The sequence below is a fragment of the Homo sapiens genome, chromosome 11 (genome assembly GCF_000001405.40).
Source record: "Homo sapiens chromosome 11, GRCh38.p14 Primary Assembly".
In the NCBI taxonomy this organism is placed as follows: domain Eukaryota; kingdom Metazoa; phylum Chordata; class Mammalia; order Primates; family Hominidae; genus Homo; species Homo sapiens.
Genome location: NC_000011.10, coordinates 125,134,560 through 125,149,330, shown reverse-complemented (window position 1 = coordinate 125,149,330; position 14,771 = coordinate 125,134,560). Strand labels below are relative to the sequence as shown.

At 46.0% G+C, this 14,771-nt stretch overlaps 1 annotated feature.

Annotated features, from left to right (window-relative positions):
- Window positions 6,984-7,540: an enhancer, noted in NCBI's record as "H3K4me1 hESC enhancer chr11:125011687-125012243 (GRCh37/hg19 assembly coordinates)". NCBI's record gives its function as "activates a minimal SCP1, AML or CMV promoter by ChIP-STARR-seq in naive H9 embryonic stem cells {active_cell/tissue: H9 hESC(naive)}" and the evidence as "EXISTENCE:reporter gene assay evidence [ECO:0000049][PMID:30033119]".

Genomic DNA, 14,771 nt, shown 5'->3' with positions numbered 1-14,771 from the left:
AATCTTCTGTGGATGCATCTAGCAAAGCATCCATCACCCTGTGTTTCGGTTGTAAATAAACCATCTCTCCAACTGATTTGTGATTCTCTCTGTGGCCATCAGCTTATGCTGGTTATGCTGCGGGATAAACAACCATAAAATCACAGCAGCTCACCATGCAAAGGTTTATCTCTCATTATGTTACACATCGGCTGTGGCACTGGCATTCCACGTCTTCTCTTCATTGTGGGACCCAGCTAGAGAGGCCTGGCCCTATTCTGGACATGCCACTCTTCTAGAAGATAAAAAAGAGAAAACGCAGTGGAACCGCAAAATGTCCCTGAAACCTCCTGCTCAGGCTTTGAGGAGAAAGCTTCTGCTCAAATTTCACTGGCCAAAGCAAGCCACATGACCAGGTCTGACATCAGTATAAGCCTTTCACAGGGCAAGGCAGCAAACAATTGGGCACACTAATACCGTCTGTCACAGTCTCCTTGGTAGGTTTCATATCTTATTTTGATATCCTGGCCCTAACACAATGCTTGGCACCAAGTCAAGTACTCAGAGCATCTTCATGGACTTGAACTGATTATCAGATAATAACTTAGCCTGATACAGGAACCTAAGATCAGCAGGCGATTTGAAGAAGGCAAAGGGCCTGCTGCAGAGCTGGGAGGGCATCAACAACAGGCTCACAGCACGGGAAATAGCACCATGCTCGGAATCAAGAGGCCCGGGTTCCAATTCAGCTGTGAAAAGCCATACCCACCACCAAGGGCTCAGCCTTCAAATGAAAGGGATGACCTCAATAATCCCTGGGGCTCCTTCCAGTTCTCACTTCTTAGGAGCCTGTCATGGAACCCCTCAACCTGGGTCCCTTGGTACTCACTTGCCAATCTGCCAGCTGCCGTTAGTCACGGCATCCAGCTCTATGATTAGAAAGAAAATAAGCCCCAAAGTCACTTCATGTGCTAAAATGAATTTCTAAAAACCAAACATTCACCCATGTCAATAGAAGAAAATACAACTATACTTCAAAAATGAATATGTTTTCAACAAAAATGTTATGTGGCAAATGCTCCTTAAACCATTTTCTATTTTGAGCATGTTGCTCTGACAGAGGGATCTCCAGTTACATGAAAACTACTTATGACATTGCAGAGGGTTGTGATTACACATCTGAGTGTATCTGCACTAAGTTCAGGTTCATGGATGGAAACCATCACATCAGTTGAAACTGTCTTGCACTTAGTAGGAGTTTGGTGTTTGTTAAATGAATGAATATCTGTCTTAATTGTACCTCTTGGACACTGAAACTATCATTCCCAATCCAAATTATTCCTATTTTTCTGCTATTTTTAAAAGCTTTGAGGAAAAAGTATTAATCTAAAAGGGTTGAGAAATCCTGTAGCTAATAGGCTGATGCACTAAGAGAATTATTTAGCAGATGCCAAGTCCTGAGCCTTGTGTTCTCAGCACCAGAAGACAAAAGCTGTGATGACCCTGTTTGATTAGAGAAACTTGTGCCTTTAAGTTTCCACCCATAAATCATGGATGCCAGCCTGGGTGTTCACCACCATCAGATAATAATAGCAACATATATTAATACATAGCATTTCCTTTATGCCAGAGCCCTTCCAAGTCCTTTGCATGCATTAACTCTCATCACTATCACAGCAACCCTAGGAAATAGGTACTGTTGTCATCTCCATTTTACTGATGGGAGAATCAAGGTACAAGGAAGGTGAGTTAACCCATCTAAGGTCGCACAGTAAGTGGAGGGCCGGCTTTGAATGCAGGCAAGCTGGCTCCAGAGTCTGTGCTGAAGTCACCTCTACATTATACGGTCTGAGCAGCAGCATGCTGCCAAGGGAGTTGGAGTCATTCCTGGATATAGATGTAACCTGGAACCCGTAAGCATTTCATCACCTCTTCACCCTTAAAGACTCTTCCCACCCTGTCCTGCAGCAGCCCAGGAGACTATGATTTCTGCGCTCGAACTGAGGGTGCAAGGGGAGAGGTGAGTGTGACTTTGGCTCTCCCAAACACCAGCATGGCTCATTTTTTTAGGTGGATGCCAGTGTATCCTTATCCATCTCCAAGTTTCTGCACGCCATGCCATCCTGCCTGGCAGGGGAGGGAGGGGGTATAAGGAAAGTCACCTTTCCCTGGGACCACAAGGTCCTGTTTCTTGTGCCATAGCACTGCAATCACCAGGCAAGGCTGTTTCCCGTAAAGATCAATCAATGCTGCCCCCATCCCACGTTCCCACCCTTTCCTGCTCCTCGGCCTACAACTGCTATCGATTACAGCAGAGCAGGGAAGCAAATGCCAAAATATATCAATCAATCACCAAAGTGGTCAAGAGACTTTATTAAAACCACTATGCCTTCTTCTATTTTCCTGCCCCCCGCCCCAGCTTCCTCGGCCCAGTGGCCATTTCTTTTGGAAGGTTTCCAAGAACTTTGCAGACATGATCTGATGGCTGGTGGAATTTCCTCTATTTGGGGAAAATTTAGACCCAGAGAAGGAGCAAGAACAAGTCCCATAGTGAGAAGATGGAAACCAGGTGTGTGAAAATACGTGCAAGTGTCTGTGCAGTACATATATGAAAATGTGCAAGTATGTGTGTTTGTTTAAAGAAAAACCTAGAACTTAGTCACATTTCAGAAACATTTGGTAATTATCGCTGAAGTTTTTACAAATCAATTCCTTCTGGTCGCTTAATGTCCTTCACTAAGTGGTTTAGTTGTGAAATTTCACTTTATAATTGGGTTCATTTTAATGCAGAAAGAGGTAGATTTGCATAAGCAAATGACAAACAGTTAACAAAACCCATTAGCAGAGAGGCAGGACTCTAAAGAGCCACACACCTGGGTAGTCAGCTCAGAATCAAAGCCTGTGGCAAGGAAATCCCTGACCTCACCCAGACCAAATTCCAGGCCTCTAATGAGAGGGGAAGGAGGACACACATTTCAAGTGCCTTAACAGATTGCTTAGTCCTAGCAGACTAAGTTGCTAGGATGAGAGGAGACCCTCAGAGAGACAGTTTCATTTGCTTGTCAATGAAAAACCAAAGACTTTTCTTTCTTTTTTCTTTTTCTTTTTCTTTTCTTTTTTTTTTTTTTTTTTTTTTTTTTTTTTTTGAGATGGAGTCTCACTCTGTCACCCAGGCTGGAGTGCAATGGCGCGATCTTGGCTCACTGCAACCTCTGCCTCCCGGGTTCAAGTGATTCTTCTGCCTCAGCCTCCCCAGTAGCTGGAATTACAGGTGCCCGCCACCACGCCCAGCAAATTTTTGTGTTTTTAGTAGAGACGGGGTTTCACCATGTTGGCCAGGCTGGTCTCGAACTCCTGACCTCAGTGATCCTCCCACCTCGGCCTCCCAAAGTGCTGGGATTACAGGCATGAGCCACTACCCCCAGCCCAAAGACTTTTTTGTCTAAGGAAAGTCTGGACAAGGATTTTTTTTTAACCGGCAGTTTTATACAGCTATCTGACAACTCTTGGTCCAGATGAAAAAAGCATGGACTCAGAGTAGCGGGGGAGACAGAGAATCTGACTGCCAACTCTCATTCTGCCACGAACTAGCAAGGATCCTCATGCCTCAGTTTCCTCTTCTGTAAAAAGACAACCTAAAACTAGATTATGAGTTCTTATGTTTCCCAAACTCCTGCTGTCATCACAAGTAATTGACTCATTCATTCATTCACCCAACAGATATTTATTGCACCCTTGCTATGAGCAGGTTCTGTAGAAATTAGAGAATCATGAGGAGACAGGGTGAGGCCTCAGTGCTGGGGAACACATAGCCATAGACAAGGCCCTACCCTCGTGGAATTTATCTTCTAATGGGGTGTTATGGATTGAATTGCACCCCCCACCAAATTCATATGTTGAAACCTTAACCACTAATGTGACTGTATTTAGAGATAAGTCTTCTTTTTTTTTTTTTTTTTTTTTAAGATGGAGTTTCACTCTTGTTGCCCAGGCTGGAGTGCAATGGCGTGATCTCGGCCCACTGCAACCTCCACCTCCCTGGTTCAAGTGACTCTCCTGTCTCAGCCTCCCGAGTAGTTGGGATTACAGGCACCCGCCACCACACCCGGCTAATTTTGTGTTTTTAGTAGAGACGGGGTTTCACCAGGTTGGCCAGCCTGGTCTCAAACTCCTGACCTCAAGTGATCTGCCTGCCTCAGCCTCCCAAAGTGCTAGGATTACAGGTGTGAGCCACCGTGTCCTGCAGAGATAGGGTCTTTAAGGAAGTAATTAAGGTTAAAGTTACAAGGGTGGGGGTCTAATCCAATAGGACTGGTGTCCTTATAAAAAGAGAAAAAAACAGAGATTCCCTCCTCCTCATTCTGCCAACCTGTGCACAAAGAGGTCATGGGAGGGCATAGGGAGAAGGCAGCCACCTACAAGCCAAACAGAGAGGCTTCCCCGGAAACCAACCTTGCTAACACGTTGATCTTGAACATCCAGCCTCCAGAACTGTAAGAAAATAAATGTCTGTTGTTTAAGCCCCGCAGTCTGTGGCATTTTGCTACATAGCTGGAGCTGACAGATACAAGGGTAAGCAGGGAAGGGCACAGTGTTATGGGAGCGCAGATTAGGGCCGCCCCACCCAGGCTACAGGGGGATGGAAGGTTTTCCAGAGAACCTGCCATCCAAATATAGACCTGAAGGGAGGATTAACAGGTGCAAACAGGAGAGAGTACTCAGGGCAGGACGCCCACATGTGTGAAGACCCTGAGGGAAGAGGAGCAAGTTCTGTCAGAGGACCTGAACACGTTTCTTTATGGATGGAGCCTGGAGGGTGAGATGAAGAGGGGGTGGAATGAGGCTGAGGAGGTCGGGGGAGCCAGCGTGGCTGACATTTCATAAGCAAACACGCTGAAGATCCCAGAGAACAAGCTGCTCCACTTTTCGACACTTCGGACTCACCCCATTGATGCTTCTGATTCTGCTGGAAAAAATGCCAACTTGGGCTCTGCAGGTTCCAAGAAGTCGTGAGCTTTTCCCTGCCACCTGATTGGCTGCATCATTCCTCAGCATCACTGCGTGTGTTCCTTGTGGAAATGCTTCGCTTGTTCATCCATAAGCTCCCTCCTTACCTTTCAAAGCCTCTTCTGGGACTGCCTCTTCTGGTGCTTGCCTTCAGTTCTATAAAATTCCTTTGCTTTTCATTAATAATTGCTAGTGTTTATTGCGTTAGTTAATACTAACCATGTCCCAGGTGTTGTTTTAGGGGCTTTATGTGTATTAGCTCTTTTAATCCTCACGACAACACTATGAAGTAGATTCTATTAATTCTAGTTTATGGATGAGGAAACTGAAGCACAGAGAGATTAAATAGTCACTTGTCCAGGGCCGCTTGGCTAACAAATGGAGGAGGCAGGATTAAAACCCAGGCAGTTGGCTGGGGGCAGTGGTGCACGCCTGTGATCCCAGCACTTTGGGAGGCCGAGACTGCCTGATCTCAGAAGTTCGAGACCATCCTGGGCAACGTGGTGAAACCTCATCTCTACCAAAATACAAAAAATTAGCCAGGCGTGGTGGTGGGTGCCTGTAGTCTCAGCTACTTGGGAGGCTGAGGCAGGAGAATCGCTTGAACCTAGAAGGTGGAGGTTACAGTGAGCCAAGATTTCACCACAGCACTCCAGCCTAGGTGACAGAGGGAGGCCCTGTCTCAAAAAAAAAAAAAAAAAAAAAAACCCGGGCAGTCTAGCTTGGGTGTCTATGCTCTTAACCACTACGCTGTGCTGTCCAAAAAAAAAAAAAAAAAGATGGAAACTGAGGCTTGGCTAGGTTCTCCTGGCTAGGTGAAGCATGGGTGCCAGGACTAGAACTGAGGTCTTCCTGATCCCATGTTCTCTGCTGTTCACACTTAGCGGGGCTGCCTCTTGAGGGAAAGGAGGAGAAGCAGATGAGTTTGAGGACCACTCAGGAGGTAGACAAGCTAGGACTATCATGAGGGTAATCAAAGAATAAGGGATACAATAGGAAGCCAAGGGCAAAGCCAGGTTTCTAGGTCAACTGTGCAGCCAAACCTTCATCATCTTCTGCCACTTTATTTTATTTATTTATTTATTTATTTTGAGATGGAGTCTCGCTCTGTCACCCAGGCTGGAGTGCAGTGGTGCAATCTCGGCTTACTGCAACCTCAGCCTCCCAGGTTCAAGCAATTCTCCTGCCTCAGCCTCCTGAGTAGCTGGGACTACAGGTGCGTGCCACCACGCCCAGCTAATTTTTATGTTTTTAGTAGAGACGAGGTTTCACCATGTTAGCCAGGATGTTCTCGAGCTCCTGACCTCGTGATCCACCCGCCTCGGCCTCCCAACGTGCTGGGATTACAGGCGTGAGCCACCGCGCCCGGCCTGCCACTTTATTCTTTATTCATTCATTCTTTCGTTCATTTGACACATACTGTGTTTCAGGTGCTGGCTGGGAAAAGCAGGAATTGGGGAGCGGGTAGACACTGAGACTGGCCATGACACTCACCAGGCCTTACTCCTTCCCCTTGTCCATGGAGCTCAAGGACTTTGCATTCTAGGGGATGGGGTTGATAAATAAATTATTACAACGTGATTATAAGTATATCAATATATCTACATCTATCTGTCTACCTATCTACCTACCATCTACCTACCTATAAAAGGAGTACAAGGAAGACAGCCCATCTCTGACTAAAGAAGTCAGGGGGAGCCTCAATCTAGAGAGGGTACCACTGGAGCCAGTGCTGAAGGTTATGATGGGAATATCCTAGGAGAGTATCGGGGATCCTGGGAGCTTCCCTGGAAAGTCTGTGACTGATGCCTGAGCTCTTCAACCAGAGTCATCAAATTCAGATATTCACTCTGAAAGGAGCCTCAGAGGCCCTCTCTATCCACAGGTGAGCCGACTGAGCAGTGCCAGGCCTGGGGTGAAGCGGAATTTCAGGAAGCACCCCGTCTCCAGCCACACAGGCGCCAACCCGCCAGCACCACCCTGCAAGCAAGGCCTCACCCTGGTCTCAGGCACAGCTCTCTCCAAGGGTCACACAGCAAAGCCAACAGTGCCATGCAAGGACCCCTGCCGCCTGCACTCCAGTCTTCTGCGTTTTGTGATTATGGAGAGCAAGGGAAAGGGAGAAGGAAAAGAAGGGGAAGAGGAGTCAAGAAATGCACCGCAGTCTCCTGTTCCTACAACAGAAAAGACAGCTCTGAAACTCTATATCCACCCACTTCAAGTTCCCGCCTTCCTCAAGCTTTATGTTCAGAAATGAGGATCTCTTCCCCACAGAGCCCTTCCCTCCCCTCTTTCTACTACGTGCTCTTCCAATTCCACACCTTTTCAACATTTATTTCAGCTGCAGATTGTCTTTCAAAAGCTGGCGGGGCGAGCCCTGCAGAGCCCACCACCGCGGCCAGAGGGTTGTAGTTCTACAGTCAGCCAGCAGGGGGCAGGCCTGCTCCGAGTCTCCGTCCTGCCCCGACCATCCCAGCCCCCCAGCCCAGTCACAACTCCTTAGAGATGCAAATTGAGAGGCAGCCTTCCTAACCCGAGAGGGCTGCTAATTCTCTGACAGTATGCAGATTTCCATCTTGCCTTTGCCTGGGTTTATTTGTTTTACTTTGCAATAAATTTAATACAGACTCCCTGAAGCAGAGAGGCAGATGGACTATAAAGTGCATTTTGAGCAGCCTTAGTTACTAGGTTAGTGTGGGTTTTGATCCCTGCTTAAATTATATCTATGAAATTTGACATGGATTTGGGTCTGGGGTTTGCTGGCTCCTTGGTGCTCTGGAGCGGCTTTTAGAGCATTTACAAGGGTTGATTTGATTATTGGGGCTTTAATTTTTCACAGAGGCTAACGAGGAGGCTGGGAAGCCCGGCCGGGGCCTGGCAGGAAGATGGAAAAGCTGGGATAAGTTGGGTTTCTACCTGCCCCAGTGTTCACGGTATCGAAATCGTTTTCTCATGTCCCTCGAGGGGCCCTAAGTCACTCTCACCAAAGAGCTGCATGCGGAAACCTGTTCTGATTCCCGGGGTAGTAGTGCAGCAAGGAGCTAGCTCAGATTCTACGAAAAAAGTCAGACGCACATATGGGACAGACATAACTAAAACATCTATAAAGAAACATTAACAAGAATGGTACAGATCAGCATTGTATAACAATGTAAATTGGATGTGAGGGGACTTGGCAGAAGGACAAAAGTCAACACACTCCTGTTAACCCCTTTGCCTTGTGCCAGAGTGTGCGGCCTCCCACTTCCCTACTTCCTTCCAGCAGATCCCTGAAGAAAGGAGGCAGAAGGAACTAGGAATGGGATGAGTTGGGTTCTTGCCCTGGCTCCACCGATTACTTCTTTGTTCAGATATTTGGTGAATATATTTAATTTCTGCAAGCTTCAGTTTCCCTCTGCACAGCTGGAATTTCATTATCATGAGGACCCAGTAAGAGATCTTCAGGAAGAATGTGTGTAGGCTGTAAAGGACCGGACCATAAAAAGTGAGTACATGGACAGATGTCATTCCCCGGTTGTGAAATGGTCATTGATGGATTAGGGTAGCAAGGCTTCAAGGCCAGAGAGGAGCTATTAATGGAATTTCCAAAGCCAGTCCATGAGGCAACATTGGTGGAATGAGTTGGGTTTCACAAACTAGCCAAGGTGTGAGACGGCCAGCTTTCTCACTGGTGGTGAGTTCTGTTCACCTGTGTGCGAAGCCTGCCTGCCAGCAGAGGACACCCTGAGAAGGTTCCAGCAGCAGCAGCAGCAGCAGCAGACGCCGAGGATTGTCCTGCAGAGCCCTGAGGGCTTGGCCACCCTGGCTGTGGGAGACTGGCAGGGGCTGGTGCTGCAGATTCATCTTCTCCCGCGTGAACCCGAGTGCAGGCAGAGCTCGGAGACAGAGGAGGGAGGGGAGGGAGGGCCCCTTGGCAAGAACCCAACTCATCCCATTCCTAGTTCCTTCCGCCTCTTTTCTTCAGGGGTCTGCTGAAAGGAAGTAGGGAAGTGGGAGGCCCGTCCCTCCTGCCTCCCTCCTCTGCATCTTCACATCTCTTAGGCCAGAGACTGGAGCAGGAAAGGGAGTTTGAGGGGGAACTAAGAGGAATGTGTTTGAAGAGCCAAGAAGAGCAAAGATTTGGGAGCCACCAGAGAAAAGGGGTAGAGAGTAGAAAGAGGCAGGTCGGGGAGAAAGGAAGGAACCATCACACATTGATATTTACTCCTGAAACTTTGAAGAGGATTGTGAACTGCTGGGGGAAGGGGAGAGAAATGAGAGAAGAGAAAGGAAATAACCAGCTCCACATGAAGGAGGGGGTGGGGTACAGGGGAGGTGGAGGCTGAGATTAAATGGAAATGAGGGGCTTGGTCACCATGGAGAAAGAAGCTGGAAGCTTTGGCAGCAGTTTGTCTATTAGGAGGAAAGGCAGGGATCAAAGAAGCTGTGGTGTGTCTATACACACAACCGGATTGGAAAATAACTAGCTGAATTCTGCCCAAAGCAGGGGGGGAGGGGGAAGGGAGTGAAAACTGGTTGAATTCTTTCCCAAATAACAATGGTTCTCCCCACGCTCGTTTCTCCCTTCTATCTGTTCCTCTGTCGCCTTAGGAACACACTACACTGAAACTGTTGGGTTGTGAAGATTTTGTTAAATTAAATTTGGTGACTTCCCCTCCGCCCCAGTGACCTGTGTGTTCAAGGGAATGGAAACCCTACATCCTGTCCCGGACAGAGGAAGGGAGATGGTAGCTGTGGTGGGGAAGGAGGGCGAAAGGAGGGACGCAGCAGTGAGGGTAAACCAGCCGATGCCTTGGTCTTCACGGGACCCTCTGAAGGAGAATGAAGAAATCCAGAAGCAGTGGCCACCGGCCAAAAGAATGGCCACACAGCCTCTCCAGAACCACAGCGGGGCTGCACTGGGACCCATGCTGGGTCTCTGCCTGACCCTGGGCTTTTCAGAGAGCCCACAAAGGCTTTTCTCCAGGAACACCCTCCCTGTTCCAGACCACATGGCAGGTGAGCAGGCGGGCCAAGGGACAGCTGTCTGGGTAAAGGTGGGGTGGAGTGTGGAAAGATCTGAGACCAAGGCCCACAGGCTCCTCAAACACAGAACAGCGCTGGGGCCAAGAACTGGAGTGGGGCGGGGGGCCTGAGGCCAGGGCCTCCACGTGGACCCTTCCCCTAACCTGTAAGTATCAGCAGCGGGGTGCAGCGGGGGGCCTGAGGCCAGGGCCTCCACGTGGACCCTTCCCCTAACCTGTAAGCATCAGCAGCAGTGCTGAGCAGGGGGGAGTCTGGCTTCCCGGCTGGAGGCAAGGAGACTGAAGGAAGAAGGAATCAAGGTTGCTGAAGGTTAGAGGCTTCAAGGGAAAATGGAGCAGGGGGCAAGCCTCTGACTCTGAGTGTGTGTGAAGAGCAGGGTGGAGAGGAACAGAGCCATACATCTGTCTCTTGCGATCTTCGGGATACACTACGCTAACATTTTGAAAATCATTCATCATTTATCTGAAATTCAAGTTTGACTGGCTAGCATGTATTTTGTCTGGCATCCCTATCCCTGGGTCCAAGGGATTGGGGTGATAACCACAAGGCTTATGTCACAAATTGGGTGAGGCCAGGGAACCCTTATAGACCTCAGAGGTTGGTGACTTACAACATACCATGGAGCTTTACCCATGCCCAGGTCCGATCAGTGTGTCCCAACTGTAGCTGGGGTTAGGAGAGCAGTGTCGTTTGCAGGCACGCTGGGCCATGGGGGAGCTTGGCCAAAACTTCATCTCTGCCAGTGCCTTTAGGAGTGAACCAGAATCCGGCAAGATCAGAGCGACTCCCCCAGAGGAAAAACTGCCTTTTTTCTACATCCACGCGAGTCTTGGAGGCTAGCGAGGCCTAAACTAAACCAATAAGAATGTTCTCCCTGGGGAGAGCAGCTTGCCTCAGTCCTTCTGAGGAGTGTAACTAACACTGTTCTCCAGTCCTTCCCCATTCAGACAACTCTGAACAATACTTCCCTAACCTAAAACTCTCCTCCTGCAGCGGATGCTCTTTCAAATTCTATTCAGAATCCAGCCTCTAAGATGCTACATTCCAAGAGGAAAGAAAATAAATACATACATAAATCAATAATAATCCTACATTAATTTCAAACTCAGTTATGAACACAGAAGCAAAAAAAATCAATGGTGGCCGAATGAAAAAGGGCAGACTGAAAGGGTTTCTTAATCCAGAAAACTTTTATAATGATATGACACATAATAGAGAACAAAATAAAATTAAAACAATAAAAAAAAGGTACACCCAGCAAGCAGTGTCCTGTTAAATAATTGGATGAGATTCATCAGAGTAGCAACTGGCGCTGAGCGTTTTTTAATTTTCTCCCTGCTGGAGCCTCTCCTCTCACAGTATCAACAAATAGATTAACTACTTGTCAGAGACGAGGCCTTCACACAGCAAAATTGAATTCTTCAGTATTTATCTTCCCCCTTTACACCCCCTGCCCAAAGAGGAATATCTGATCACTTTTTAAAAAAAGATCCCAAATCTAGAAATGATTAATTCTGTCCCATGATGCAAAGGGTTAATTCCACCATGGTTCATGAAGGAAAGCCAGGTTTAATAAGAATTGCTAATTGCCTTTTCCTTAGGAAGGAATGAACTTTGAAAGGGCAAAAGACAGAGGCAGCTTCACCCCTTCAATGATGTATCTGTGGCAAGGGCAGGCCCACCGGTGTCACGGTGTTTTAGAGAAACGAAGGTTCTGCAGGAGTTGGACTAGGGAGGAATGGCGAGCCCACGGAGGCACAGCCTGCCACAGAGCAGCCATGGCCACAGGCCCATCCACAGCAATGCTTTCATTTCAGGAAAACAACGTAATGGTTCAAATTGGACTAATATGGTTACCTTAAAAATTTTTTGCTTTAGAATTTTGTTAGTATTCAATTAATTCTTAGTTATAATGGAGCTACAAACATTGGGAAGTTATACCTATTTTTGGTTTGTACTTTTTGGGTTACACTATGATATAAATAATGTAGGTCAATATTAGATGTCTGGGGAAATATTCTTCCTTTTTTAAAAACGATGTGAACGTTAATCAAATATGAGAAACAATCGGAGGCTGGAAGAACTCAGCCAGAAGGTCCGAATGCCCAGGGGACTAATCCTCACATAATTCACTAGGTAACATGGGCAAGGCTGTGACTTATTCAGTGTCAATTTGAAAACAGGGATTATAGCCCTGTCATAGTGGCTCACATTTGTCATCCCAGCACTTTGGGAGGCTGAGGCAGGTGGATCATTTGAGGCCAGGTGTTTGGGACAAGCTTGGCCAACACGACAAAACCCCATCTCTACTAAAAATACAAAAATTAGCCAAGCATGGTGGCCAGTGCCTATAGTCCCAGCTATTCAAGAGGCTGAGGCAGGAGAATCACTTGAACCCCGAAGGTGGAGGTTACAGTGAGCCGAGGTCACGCCATTGCACTCCAGCCTGGGCGACAGAGCAAGACCCTGTCTTAAAAAAAAAAAAAAATTAGTTTTGAACTAGTTATTCCACACCCATTATCTCCAGATCAAACAAGATAATGGTGTGGAATAACTATTTCAAAAAGTTTAACCATTTAGAAACCATTAAGAAAAGTGTTTTTCCATCACATCATAATAAAGGGTAAGCAGTCTACTTTGAGGCAGATTGTTCTTGGATTTGCATGCTTGAACTCACTGAGATGAAAGAGCTGTCAGCTCCATCATGGTTAACCTAAGAAGACGTCAGGGAGGAGAAGGAGGAAGAGGATAGAGGAAGGAACCTGTATTTAGCCCATTGGTACCTGGCTTAGCTCAGAGACCCTGCTGGGCAGTCTGTCCATCCGTGCTCCATGAAGGTGTTAGTCATAGGCCTTTCTGTTCTGTCCAGTCCCCCTCTCTGCTTCCTCTGTTCTCTTGCCTCCCAGGACCCCCTTCTGAGTTAGTTTGAGAAATGAAACAGAAATGATATCACTTAATGGGGAAGACACTTGTCAGTTTTTCCTGCTCTGGCCTGGCCCAACTTTCTAATCACCAGTTTTGCATCCAAGGTTGGACCCACTTAAGTAAAACTCAGGCAGGCACAATTCAATCAGATGTTTCAGGGGCTGAGTTCTCTGAAGGAGCAGAAGCAGAAGTGGAGAGGACTGGGGTGTGCATTGGTGCCAAGTAAGCATGTTTTGAAAAAATAGCATGGAAACATAAATTAGTGACATCTTAGGAGGCAGTTCAGACACTTGTTATTCCCAGACTGCAGCAGCAATTTCAGAGTAGTTGGTTTTTTGACATCAAAAGGTAAGAGGCTGCTCAACTATTGGGTTATTTTGGTATTCTACAGCCTAGTGCATGAAATATCAAACTATCTTACCAATAGAGAATGAAATACAATCCTTTTTTACAAGTAAAGACAAATTAAAGATTCAATCTAAAATAGCATATCATTTACAATAGCAACAAAATTGTAAAGCATATGAGAAGTAGTCTAAGAAATAATATATATAACTTTTTATGGAGAAAGATTTTAAACCCTATTAGCAGACATAAAAGAAAACCTGAATAAATGAAAGAATCTTTCATAATTATGAAAGGGATGGCTTTATACAATGCCAATTCCCCCAAAATAGCATGTAAATTTAATTCATTCCAATAAGAATCCCAGTAGACTGGGTAGAGGGGGATGAATTTGACAATCATTTAAAAATTGGTGATGAAGAATACAAGTCAACTAATGCTAAGTTTTTTTTTAAGAAAAAAAAAAAAGAAGAGCAAAAGAAAGGATCAGACTATACCAGACACTAAGAAATATCACAAGAACAGAGTTATTGAAAGAGTGTGGTAGGCACAGAACAGATAAACGGGCTGGTACAATGTGCAAGTCCAGATAGACTTAGGTGTGCATGAAAACCTGGCATATGGTGAATCTGGCATCATAAATCAAAGGGTGAAAAGATGAAGTATTTTATAAGTGATGAAATAAGTTCAAATATCTATCTTATTACTGGATATGAAAATAAACCTTATATGGATTCAATACCTAAATATGAAAGGCAAAGCCATAAACTAACAGAAGAAAATATATGATAGTATATTGTGACCTTGAAGCAGGAAAAGATATTTTAAACAAGATCCAAAAGCAAAACCATAAAGAGAAAAATGGATGAATTTTACACCCAAATTAAGGATTTCTGTTCAGTGAAGTACACCATCGACAGAGTTAACAGATGGGTAATGCCTGGAAGAAGACATTTGCAACTAGCAATTGTTCAGGGAATCCCAACAAATTAGGAAAAAAAAAAAAAAAAAACGGACAGGAAACAATAGAAAAACGGGCAAAGTAAATGAGTAGGTAGTTCACAGAAAGGGAAGTCTTAAAGCCTAATAAGTATTTGAAGTGATGCTTAATTTCATGAGTAATATGAAAAACACAAAACAAAAATAAGATCCCACTTTACATCTAACAAATTAGTAAACATTAGAACGCCTGATAATGCCGAGTGCTAGCAAAGATGTTCACCAGGAACAGCTGATGAAGGTGGACGCCGGAGCAGTTATTTAGGAGCACCGTGTAGTAGAACGTAGTGGAAGGAGAAATGCAGATAGCCTATGACCCAGCATTGTCTCTTGGTGGGTTTATATGCCCTAGAGAAACTGGCACATAAGCACAAAAAAGTTCATCCCTTGCCAATAGTGGTAGCAAAGTATTGGTGGCAACGTGGGTGCTCTTCACCAGGGGAATGGAAGGGTGAATTGCAGTTAACAGAAATGATGAAACACTGTGCAGT